Source organism: Homo sapiens, chromosome 10, assembly GCF_000001405.40.
Source record: "Homo sapiens chromosome 10, GRCh38.p14 Primary Assembly".
In the NCBI taxonomy this organism is placed as follows: domain Eukaryota; kingdom Metazoa; phylum Chordata; class Mammalia; order Primates; family Hominidae; genus Homo; species Homo sapiens.
The window spans coordinates 91,464,963-91,477,892 of record NC_000010.11 but is presented as its reverse complement, the minus strand read 5'-3'; the positions used below and the strand labels follow the sequence as shown (position 1 = coordinate 91,477,892).

At 39.4% G+C, this 12,930-nt stretch overlaps 1 protein-coding gene and 1 long non-coding RNA gene across 14 annotated transcripts in view; one reads left to right on the top strand and one right to left on the bottom strand.

Moving 5' to 3' along the window:
- Positions 1-12,930, top strand: part of HECTD2-AS1 (HECTD2 antisense RNA 1) — a 304,499-nt gene that overhangs the window by 133,568 nt on the left and 158,001 nt on the right. The window lies entirely within an intron of this gene.
- The window catches only part of HECTD2 (HECT domain E3 ubiquitin protein ligase 2), a 105,586-nt gene that overhangs the window by 36,928 nt on the left and 55,728 nt on the right, over positions 1-12,930 (bottom strand). The window lies entirely within an intron of this gene.

The following is a 12,930-nucleotide window of genomic DNA, read 5'->3' as shown; positions in this document are numbered from 1 at the left end:
GTAATGAACAAGAATCCAAGCGTAACATGTTTATTAACATAATATTACCATTCTAGTTTAATAATCCAAATACTAAAAATCTTATTTACTATCAAACATCCCAAGAATAAATGAAAATAAAATACATTTAGATAATACTTTAGTTTATAAGAGAATAGAAGCTTCATTAACAAGAAACTTCAAATAATCAGTAAAATTTGTGTCATGTTACATGAAAGAGGCAAATGCCAATACACATATATTATGCTTTTATTTAAAACCACAACCATTACTTCCAAGACATGTCTATCAGCACTCATTCAGCCTAGCTCTTATGTCATATACACATATACGTATATATATTTAATATAGCATTCCTTTCTCTTCCTCTGCTTACAGTAACCCCGCACACCCAGAGAGTATCCCTGCTCAACCACTTAGTGTTTGCCCCTGAGCAACAAAAGCTGCAGGAGAAAAACCAAACAAATGTGCTGACTGGACATACTTTAAGTTTATGACCACAAATCTCAAAAGGACACTCAATACCACTGACAGTCCCACAACATTTCTATAGTTCACTTACTTCTCTACACTTCAAGACAACTATATTTCAAACCTTCTTATTCCTCAAATCTATAACACCTCCTTCCCAGCATCATTCCTAGCTATGACCTTGCTACACACTTGGCATCTGCATTGGACCCGCAGGGGTTTTTTTTTTTTTTTGAGACGGAGTCTCGCTCTGTCATCCAGGCCAGACTGCGTACTGCAGTGGCGCAATCTCGGCTCACTGCAAGCTCCGCTTCCCGGGTTCACGCCATTCTCCTGCCTCAGCCTCCCGAGTAGCTGGGACTACAGGCGCCCGCCACCGCGCCCGGCTAATTTTTTTGTATTTTTAGTAGAGACGGGGTTTCACCTTGTTAGCCAGGATGGTCTCGATCTCCTGACCTCATGATCCACCCGCCTCGGCCTCCCAAAGTGCTGGGATTACAGGCATGAGCCACCGCGCCCGGCCCGGACCCGCAGGGGTTTTTATCCCCTCCCCATCCTGAGCAGCCTCTTTGCTAGGATCAAGACGACCACACCCCAGCCAAAGACAAAGGCCTCACAGGTGCTCACAGGGCAGGCAGGTGCCCACAGAACTTCAAGAAGACGGTTCTCACTCCTCTCGCCCTTTGCCCTCATTGAGAAATCTAGCCACAGCTTGACACAGGGACGGAGAAAGAAGCCAGCAACAGGATAGGGCAAGCATCTCTGTCACTCAAATGCTGGCCTTCCTGGCCAAGTCCCGTTTGGCACTCCTCCCCGGATGCCTGCGGTGGTGGCATTGCGCCATATCCTGCCTGGGCTCTGGCCTCTGTTCTGTCCTCCCTCTTGCTCTGTCTGCCCTGTTTCTGAGAAGCCTAGAGGCTTCTTAGTCTGGCTCAATGTCTTCAACAAAGAAGACTTCCCAGTCCATCAGGGAGAAACTTCGTGGGGGTCCGTGTCATGATTGTTTCCCTCTCCAAACCTATTTCTGGGTGATTGAGCAGGTGTGGTGATCCTGGAGCTCTGGGCTTCCATACCTGCCTGGGACAGGGAAGCTTTCTAGGTCTCAGATGCACCCAGATAACAGATTCACTGTCCCTATGTAAATTCTACCAATTTGCCTGCAACTGCACTTGACCAAGGTCAATCCCTTCATTTGAGTCCTACATCCCATCCCCTCTCATAATCTTGTCAAGGACATGGTTATTAAAGTTTTTCCTTATCTCTCCTGTATCATCCGTTTCTCCCTCTCTACTAAAACATTCCTATCAGTATAACAACGCAGACTAACATCACTGGCACTGATTTGCTGTTCTTCTCCACTTTGCTCTATGCCCTCAGAGGCCAATTCTGAAGGACTGTATCAACTAGACTCCTTTGCCTTCTTATTGGGCTCAGCTAATAGAAAGCACTAGCAGAAAAGAAAAGAGAGTGAAGTTGGGGTATTTGTTCCCTCAGGTCCCCACCTCCAGGGTCACCATGGGATGGTTGTCATGGGTCGGCTGTGTCCCTAGAGTGAAAGTCCCATCTCCTGTAAAGCAGCCCTCTCACCCACAGTTCATCTCTAGATTCTCCCCTGGGCACTATGCTGTCCTTATGGTCTCACTTACTCTGCTAACAACTTTGTAAATAACCCAATTTACCAATTTGAGTGTGTTGTCTGTTTACTACCAGGACCCTGACTGATGTATTGACTTTATTTAAAACATCTCGTTTGGGCCATCTTCTAGCTACCGCCTCATTTCTCTGCTTCCCTTCATAGTGAAAGCTCTCAAGAATTATCTGTACTATCTCTTCTCATTGTCAACTCATTCCAAATAGGCATATTAAAGTCTTACTAGACTCTTATTAAAGTCATCAATTATCTATAGCTTATGAAAGACAATGGTCAATTCTCTGTCCAAACCTTACAAAATGTCTCAGCAACATCTGACAAGGTGGAATACTCTTCTTTTTTAAACACTTTGATCTCTCCTTCACGAATGCCTTATCCATCTAATTAAATGGCAACAGCATCCACTCAGTTTCCTGTCTTTCTTGCCTTTGAGTGCCACATCCAATGTACTGGAAGTTTTACTAGCTCTACTCCATAATATATGAGTCTGAACATTTCTATTTTCATTGCCAAAATTGCTAATCCAAATATCAACTTTTGCTTCAACTACTACAAGGCCTTCCTAACTCCTTTCTCTTGACACACTACAGACCATTTTCTGCTAAGCATCTAGAGAGATCTTTCTTAACTATAAATGATCCCTGCCGAAAACACTCAATGACTTTCCATTACCATACAATTAAACTTGCATGGTCATATGCAGTCTCATCTCTTACCAACCTAGTCTTCTCCTTTCTCCCAAATTCACCAAGCTTTAGTCTCACAAGCCTTATTTCTGAATTTGCCAATTGTGTTCCCTTCTCAGGGCCTTTTTATTAGCTGTCACTTCTGTTAGTGCGCTGCTCTCACAGATCTTCTCATGGTTTCAGTTATTTTCATCATTAAGACCTCAATTGTTGCCTTACAGAGGCCCTCCCTGAGCTTCCTAGCTAAAAGCAACCACTAATCACTTCTTATTACATTGCCCTATCTTCTCGAAGCACTTATCAGTATCTGAAATTATCTTTCTTCACATTTGTTTTCACATTTATTTTCTATCTGTAACCTGCCCCCAATAGAAATTAGAATATAAGCTACTTAGAGCTGTATATGACATGCATTTTTGTTTAACACTGTATCTCCAACACCAAGACAATACATACTCACTGACTAACTGCTCAACTCTTTGCATACTTAAGTTGAATCCTTCCAAGATGCAAATAAAAATCAACCTCTTCTGTATAACCTTCCCAATTCCAGTGATTTCTCCCTCATCTGATCATCTGTAGTATTTACTTTCCTAAAGGCCATATCTTCTGAAGTTAGTAACAACGATTTCAACTTCCTTTGGTTTAGAAGGTGTCTGGTATATATTCTATATACCCTTACTTTCAACCTTTTTAGGTATCTCTTGTGCTTAGCATGGAATATAATTTTTAAAAATCTAAAGTGATAGTCTCTTCTAACCAGTGAGTTTAGTGCATTTATATTCGTTATTCAATTACTTATTCCTATATTTGGACTTGTTTCTGCAATCTTATTTTTTGTTTTCATTCAACTCACTTTTTAATGCTTCTTTTTCCCATTCCCCTACTCTCCAGTTAAGAAAGTTATTTGCTCCACTTGCACTGTTTTAGAGGTTACTTTTGATTTCTTATTATTCATAGTTAACAAGCCTAAAGTTAATATTCTACTCTTTCTTTAGAGCATCTTAGAATACTTTTAATTCCAATAAGCTTCCTCTACTTATGTGTTGTTATTCTCCCATCTTTTGGCTTTTTCTTCTTAATTACACACATTAGACATCAATTTTATGCAGGCATTTTTTAGGGTGACACATAAATACAGTTGACCCTTGAACAACATGAGAGTTAGGAATGCTGACCCCCAATGCAGTAGAAAAATCCATGTATAACTTTTGACTCCCCCAAAACTTAACTATCAATAGCCTACTGTTGATCAGAACCTCACCAATAATATAGTTTATTAACACATATTTTATATGTATTATGTATTATACACTGAATTCTTATAAAATAGAGAAAAGATAATGTTATTAAGAAAATCACGAGAAAATATATCTACTGTTTATTAAGTGGAAGCAATTATCATAAAGGTCTTTATCCTCTTTATCTTCACATTAAGTAGGCTAAGGAGGAGGCTGAAGAGGAGGAGTTGGTCTTCCTGTCTCAGACATGGCAGAGGCGGAATAAAATCTGTGTGTGAGTGAACTCATGCAGTTCAAACCCATGATGTGTAAGGGTCAACTGTATTTATGAATTTCTTTTTCATCATTCTTTCTTATATCTCAGATCCTTCCTCTTCTCTCTAAAATATATCTTTTAAAGTTTAAGTATACGTCTGTTGGTGGTAAAGGCAGTTTTTGTTTATTTTAAATATCTTTAAGTCACCCTCATTCTTGAAAGTCAGTTTCTCCGGCTACATCAATCAATGTTTATATTCTTTTCTTTTAGTATTTTGAAAATATTACTTCAGGTTTTTGGCTCCCAGATTGCTGTGGAGCAGTCTGCTGACAGCCAAATAATTTTCCTTTATGAATGATTTGTCTTTTCCCTTTGATTACTTATAAGGTATCTTTATTACGATGTTCCAATTTCACTACTTTGTCTGCATGTCTTTTATCTTGCTTAGTATATATTTTGTTTCCCCTGTTATTTGTGGATTCACGTCTTACATCAGTTATGGGAAACTCCCAGGTATTAAATATACACCCCCATTCTTTCTGTGCCATAATTTTTAGACTCCAAATACAATGAAGTTTAGTCTTTCTTATTCTAACCTCTATACATCTTTATTATTTTTATAGTTTATCTCTTTTTCCCTGAGTTCTACTCTGAGAAATTTCTTCTTCACTTCTACCTTCCAGTTTACTAATTCTTTTTCCAGCAGTCTCCAATCTGCTGTTTAATCTATTAATTTCTCTACTTCTAAAAATTTATTTGGTATCAAAGGTATTTTAGACAGTCTCATGTTCATAATCTCAATATCTGTAACAGCCATTCTGACTGGTGTGAGATGTTATGTCACTGTGGTTTTGATTTGCAATTCTCTAATGATCAGTAATGCTGAACATTTCTTCATATGCTGGTTGGACACATGTATGTCTTCTTTTGAAGTGTCTGCTCATGTTCTTTGCCCACTTTTTAATGAAGTCGTTTGCTTTTGCTTATTATTTCAGTTTTTTATAGATTCTGGATATTAGACCTCTGTTGGATGCATAGTTTGCAAATATTTTCTCCTATTCTGCAGGTTGTCTACTTACTGTGTTGATAGTTTCTTTTGCTATGCAGAAGCTCTTCAGTTTAATTAGGTCACATTCATCAATTTTTGTTTTTGTCGCAATTGCTTTTGGCATCTTTTTCATGAAATCTTTGCTAGGGCCTATGTCCAGAATGATATTTCCTAGGTTATCTTCCAGGCTTTTTATACTTTCAGTTTTTACATTAAAGTCTTTAATTTGTCTTGAGTTGATTTTTGTATATTGTGAAAGAAATGGGTCCACTTTCAATCTTTTACATATAGCAAGCGAGTTATCCCAGCACTATTTATTGAACAGATAATCTTTTCCCTATTATTTTGTGGACTTTGTCAAAGATCAGATGGTTATGGGTGTGTGTCATCAGTTCTAGGCTCTCTATTCTGTTCCATTGGTCTATGTGTCTGTTTCTGAACCAGTACCATGGTGTTTTGGTTGCTGTGGCTTGTAGCATAGTTTGAAGCCAGGTAATGTGATGCCTCCAGCTTTGTTATCTTTTTTAAGGATTGCCTTGGCTAATCAAACTCTTTTCTAGTTTCATATGAATTTTAAAATAGTTTTTTCCTAATTCTGTGAAGAATGCCATTGGTAGTTTGATTGCAATAGCACTGCAACTGTAAATTGCTTTGGGCAGTATGGCCACTTTAATGATATTGATTCTTCCTGTCCTTGAGCATGGAATGTTTTACCATTTGTTTGTTCATCTGTAATTTTTTGGAGCAGTGTTTTGTAATTCTCATTGTTAATGCTCTCTTACCTCACTGGTTAGCAATACTCACAGGTATTTTATTCTTTTTGTGGCTATTGTGAGTGGAATTGCGTTCTTGATTTGGCTCTCTGCTTAGATGTTGGTGTATAGAAATGCTACTGATTTTTATATATTGATTTTGCATTCAGAAACTTTGCTGAAATTGTTCTTCATGTCTAGGAGCTTTTGGGCAGAGGGTTTGGGGTTTTCTAGGTATAGAATAATAACATCTGCAAAGATTTGACTTCCTCTCGTCCTATTTTGGTGCCTTCTATTTCTTTCTCTTGCCCAACTGCTCTGGCTAAGACTCCCAGTACTATGTTGAATAGGAGTGCTAAGAGTGGGCATCCTTGTCTTGTGCTGTTGTCAAGAGGAAGACTTGTAGCTTTTGCTCATTCAGTATGATGTTGGCTGTGGGTTTGTCACAGACGATTCCTATTATTTTGAGGCATGTTCCTTCAATGCCTAGTTGTGGAGGGTTTTTAACATGCAGGGAAGCTGAATTTTATCAAAAGCCTTTTCTGCATCTATTGAGATAATCATGTGGTTTTTGTGTTTAGTTCTGTTACGTGATGAATCACATTTATTGATATGTGTAGGATGAACCAACCTTGCATCCTAGGGATAATGGTTACTTGATCATGGTGGATTAGCTTGTTGATGTGCTTTTAGATTCAGTTTGCTAGTATTTTGCAGGGGTTTTTGCATCAATTTTCATCAGGAATATTGGCCTGAGGTTTTCTTTGTGTGTGTGCGTGTGTGTCTGTGTGTGTGTGCGTGTGTGTGTGTGTGTCTCTGCCACACAGAAAAGATGATATCAAGATGATGCTGGCCTCACAAAATGAATTAGGGAAGAGTCCCTCCTCTTCAATTTTTTGGAATAGTTTCAGTAGAAATGGTGCCAGCTCTTTGTACATCTGGTAGAATTCGGCCGTGAATCCACTTGGTTCTGGGCTTTTTTTGGGGTTGGTAAGCTGTTTCTTACTGATTCAATTTCAGAGCTCATTATTGGTCTGTTTAGGGTTTCCATTTCTTCCTGGTTCCATCTTGGGATGGAACTCTTTCAGTTCAACTCCGATTTTGGTTATTTCTTGTCTTCTGCTAGCTTTGGGGTTAGTTTGTGCTTGTTTCTGTAGATTTTCTAGGTGTGATATTATGTTTACTTGAGATCTAACATTTTTGATGTAGGCATTTAGATTTATAAAATTTCCTTTCACAGTGCTGGGTCCCAGAGATTCTGGTATGTTTTATCTTTGTTCTCATTAGTTTCGATACATTTCTTGATTTCTGCTTTAATTTCACTGCTTACCCAAAAGTCATTCAGCAGCAGACTGTTTTAATTTCCTTATAATTGTATGCTTTTGAGTGGTTTTCTCAGTATGGATTTCTATTTTTATTGTGCAATGGTGGTTGATATGAATTCATTTTTTAAAAGTTTGCTGAGAATTGTTTTATGATTATGTGGTCGATCTTAAAGTATGTGTCATGTACAGTTCAGAAGAATGTGTATTCTGTTGTTTTGGGGTGGAGAGTTCTGCAGATATCTGTTAGGTCCATTTGGTCAAATGACAAGTTCAGGTCCCATGTATCTTTGTTAGTTTCTTCCTCAATCATCTAATATTGTCAGTGGGGTGTTGAAGTCTCCCACTATTATTGTGTGGTTATCTAAGTCTCTTTGTAGATCTCTAAGAAGTTCCTTTATAAATCCAGGTGCTGCTGTATTAGGTACATATATATTTGGGATAGTTAAGTCTTCTTGTTGAACTGAACTCTATACCATTATGTAATGCTCTTGTCTTTTTTGATTGTTGTTGGTTTAAAAGTCTGTTTTGTCTGAAGTTGCAATAACAATCCCTGCTCTTTTTTCTTTTCTATTGTTCTTGCTAGAGCTTTCTCCATTGCTTTACTTTGAGCCTATGGATGTCACTGTATGTGAGATGGGTCTCTTGAAGACAGCATATAGTTTGGTCTTTCTTCTTATACAACTTGCCACTCTGTGCCTTTTAAGTAGACATTTAGCCTTTTTACATTCCTGTCATCATGTTGTTAAGCTGGTTATTATGCAGACTTGATTTTGTGGTTGCTTTATAGTGTCAATAGTTTATGTGCTTAAGTGTGTTTTTGTGGCAGCCGGTAACAGTCTTTCCTTTCCATATTTAGTACTCCCTTAAGGATTTCTTGTAAGGCAGGTTTGGTGGTAACGAATTTCCTTAGCATTTACTTATCAGAAAAGTATCTTATTTCTCCTTCAATTATGAAGCTTTGTTTGGCTGTATATGAAATTCTTGGTTGGAATATCTTTTTGTTAAGAATGCTGAATATAGGCTCCCAATCTCTTCTGTCTTGAAGGGTTTCTGCTCAAAGGTCTGCTGTTAGCCTGATAGGGTTCTCACTAGAGGTGAACTGCTCCTTCTCTGTAGCTGCCTTTAACATTTTTTCATTCATTTTGACTTTGGAGAATCTGAGGACTGTGTGTCTTGGGGATGGTCATCTTGCATATTGCAGGGGTTCTCTGAATTTCCTGAATTTGAATGTTGGCTTCTCTAGTGAGGTTGGGGAAATATTCATGGATGATATCCTCAAATATGCTTTCCAAATTGCTTGCTTTCTCTCCCTCTCTTTCTGAGATGTCAATGAGTTGTAGATTTGGTCTCTTTACATAATCCCATATTTCTTGGAGCCTTTGTTCATTCTTCTTTATTTTTTATTTTTGTCTGACTGAGCTATTTAGGAGAATCAGTCTTTGAGCTCTGAAATTCTTTCTTTAGCTTGGTCAATTCTGCTGTTAATGTTTGCAACTGTACTCTTGTTTTTTTTTTTTTTTTTTGAGTGAGACAGTGTCTAACTCTGTTGTTCAGGCTGCAGTGTGGTGGTGCAATCATAGCTCACCACAGTTTTGAATTCCTGGGCTCAAGTGATCCTCCCACTAAAGCCTCCCAAGTACCTGGGACTATAAGCATGCACCACTACACCCAGCTAACTTAAAAAAATTTTTTTTTGTAGAGATGGGGTAAAATTTGTGAAGTGAGTTTTTCAGCTCTGTCAGATCAATTTGGTTCTTTCTTAAAACAAGCCATTTCATCTTTTATCTCCTGTATTATTTTATTGTATTCTTTAGATTCCTTATATTGGGCTTCTACTTTCTCCTGAATCTCAATGATCTTTGTTCCTATCCATATTCTGAATTCTACTTCTGTCATTTTCAGCCTGGTTAAGAACCATTGCTGGGAACTAGTGTGGTCATTTGGAGGTGAGAAGACTGGCTTTTTGAGTTGCCGGAGTTCTTGTTCTGGTTCTTTCTCATCTGAGTGAGTTGACATTCGTTCAGTTTCTGGAGTTGCTACCCTTCGAATGGGATTTTATTTTTTTTGGCTTTTATCTTCTTTGATGCATTTGTGGGTTTGATTGTGGTATAAAGTGGGTTCAGCTGAATGGCTTTGTTTCTGGAAAATTTTAGTGGGCCAAGGCTCAGCTCAGCACTCCTGGGCTGCATGCTCTAACTCTGGGGGGTGCTGGTACCGAGCCCCTGGCTTTGTTCTCTGGCCCCTCAAGGTTAGGAACCTGCTGTGCCAAAAGGGCTGAGGTCTTCTTGGTCCACTGGCACTAACATTCTGATGGGTGGTGTCAGACAAAACACTTGACTGGGGTAGTGGCAGTTGGATCCATGCTTGCTTGCATGTGCCAGCAGCCACTCAGAGCCATGTGATGGGATGCACACACATCTGCTGGGGCAAGGTACTAGTAGGAGTGGGCTTGTGGCATTGCTCCATGCTCTTGAGCTGGCAGCAGTGGTGGTGTGGTAGGTGTGGGGTGCTGGTGGGGGGCAGGAATGCTGGACTCTGTGCACATGCATTTGCACCAACAGTGGTGTCAGCATGGTGGGGGGGCTAGTTGCTAGTGTCCGTGTGCATTTTTGCAGCAGCAATGGTGGCATGATTGGGTGCCCACATGCCAGTGGGGGCAGCAAGCATGTACTCATGCAGCAGTAGCCTGGTGGGGTACGCACACATACTGGTGGGGAGAAATGAGGTCCACTCACTCGCAAACCTTGGCAAAGCAGTGGGAAGGTGGCTGTGGACAAATGCATGCTGGCAAAGCTACGGAGGGGAGGTTCTGATGGGGGGATGTTGCAGGTAGGCTGGTGTGTGCTGGTGGGGGCCACTCTGCTGGACCCTACGATGGTCAGGAGTGGTCTGCTGGTGAGCTATGCCCCAGGAAGTACCTTGGTTGGGCATCGAGGGTGCACTGCAAGTGAGTGTGGCGAGGCTGAGGCCCTGGGAGAGGCCAGCAGTCAGGGGGACACTCACATTGGTCTGGCACCATCTCACAGGCAAGACCACCCTACTCTGTCCAGGTCTGACAGTCTTCTCAAGGCTAAAGTCTCCAGGAGGAGCACAGTGAGCCTTGAGGGATGGGCAACCCTGGCCATGCTCCACTGCAGATGTTCCCATACCAAACCATCTGGGCGCCACACAGGCTGGAGTCCTACTCCTCCCACATGTGTAAGCAGTTCACCCTGCCAGCTCAAGTGTCCATGGGGGTCATGGAATCTCCTGTTGCCAGGATTCCGGAGGCCCGTGGCAAGAGCAGGCTGCTCCTTGCCTGTTCAACTCACCCTTTCCACAGGAGCTGCTGGGGGTCATGAATGAATCCCATTACTTGGTAGCCCCACCCAGGTTTCCCAGCTCCCTTCAGCTCAGCTTCTGTGTCCTCCATCTGTCCAATCTCAATGCCTTCCCTCTGAAGATCTGCTTGGAGTGTGCCAGTCTTCCTGATGTCCAGTCTCTCCGTGGCAGATGTTCCTCCTGGCTGCATCTAGTTGGCCATCTTGGCTCCAAATCTCCATTACTGTTATTTTTAACAGCCTTTTAAGACTAGCTTCCTTCACTTAGCAATATGTATTTAAGGTTTCTCCATGTCTTTTTGTGACTTGGTATCTCATTTCTTCTTATCACTGAATAATTTCCATGATATGGAATGTACCACAGTTTGTTTATCCCTTCACCTATGGAAGGACATTTTTGGTAATTAATTTTTGGCTGTTGTAACCATTTGTGTGCAGGTTTTTGGGTGAACATAAATTGTTAACTCATTTGGGTAAATACATGAGTGTAAGTGAGGGATCATATGGTAAGCCTGTGTTTAGCTTTGGAAAACAAATGAAAAATACAACCTATCAAAATTTGTGAGATATAGCAAAAGCAGTGTTTAGAGGGAAATGTATAGCACTGAATGAATATATTAGCAAAAAAATCTGAAATTAATCATTTAAGTGTCCACCTTAGGAAACTAAAACAAAAGAGCAAATTAAATCCAAGGTAAGTAGAAGACAAGATATAAAAATTAGAGAAGTCAATGAAACTTAAAACAGGGAACAGGGAAAATCAGCACAACAAAATGCTGATTTTTTTTTGAAGAGAACAATAAAAGTGATAAGCCTCTAGCCAGACTAATCACAAAAGGAAGTGAGAAAATACTAATTACTAAATGAAAGATCATTCTCACACTGATTCTATAGACATTAAAAGGATAATTTATGACTATTATGAACAACTCTATGCTCACAAATTTGATAACCTAGATATGTTACTGAAAAACACAATCTACCAAAATTAATATAAGGAGAAACAGATAATCTGAATAAGCCTGTGTCTACTAAAGGAACCGAATCAATAACTGTTAACCTTCTAAAACAGAAAGCACCAGGCCCAGATGGCTTTAATGGTAAACTCTACCAAATATTTAAAAAATAAATGATACCAATTCTGTAAAATTTCTTCCAGAAAACAGAAGCAGAGAGAATACTTTCTAAGTCCTTCTGTGAGGCCAGCATTAACCTAATGCTCAAAAGAGAAAGATATTACAAGAAAGGAAAAGTATAGATCAATACCTCTCATGAACATAGATGCAAAAAAATCCTCAACAAAATATTAGCAGATTGAACCAAAAATACATAAAAAGAATTATACAACACAACCAAGTGTGATTTATTTCAGGTTATGCAAGTCTGGTTCAACACCTGAAAATCAACTAATGTAATTCATCACATCGACAAGCTAAAAAAGAAAAATCATGGGATCATAGCAATAGATGCAAAAGAAACAGTTGATGAAATCCAATACCCATTCATGATAAAAATTATCAGTGAACAAGAAGTAGAGGAGAACTTCCTCAACTTGATGAAGAACATCTTAAAAAAAAAAAAACCCTACAGCTAACATCATAATTAATGGTGAGATACTAGATGATCCAGGTTCATTTGGTACTTTCCCTGCCTTGGTCTTAGAATTAGCCATTTCTCTAGGGAGCTGTGGTTCTTTTAGTGTGACATGGTATTTAGAAACCAAGATAAGCATAGTGAAGTGCTCAGTATAGTGAAGGGATGTTATTGCTGTAGGCCCTTTCAGTGCACAGGGCTAGAACATACACACTCGCATGCACACACATGTATCTACATCTATTAAAAACCATGAGATCATTACAATGCCTCCAATTCTAATTCAATTCCCAGAACTGTTTTTAGCCTCCCTCATCCCATATTTATATCTCCCTTTTCTAAAATGAGAAACCTGACTCCCAGCAACATTGATATATTTACTCGTTTGTTTAGTTCAACAATACATAGAATGTAATTTCAGAATTATTTGTCTATACCCCTGAGGGGGGAAAAAAACCCAAACTACTAAAAGTTAAAGATTTGTTTATAGTCTTTGCATGTGTTTTTTTAGTTAGGATTATATAGTTAAACTACTATGTATGAAAATTTTTTAGTGAGTTTTGGAAAATATGGTTATAGTGTTCATT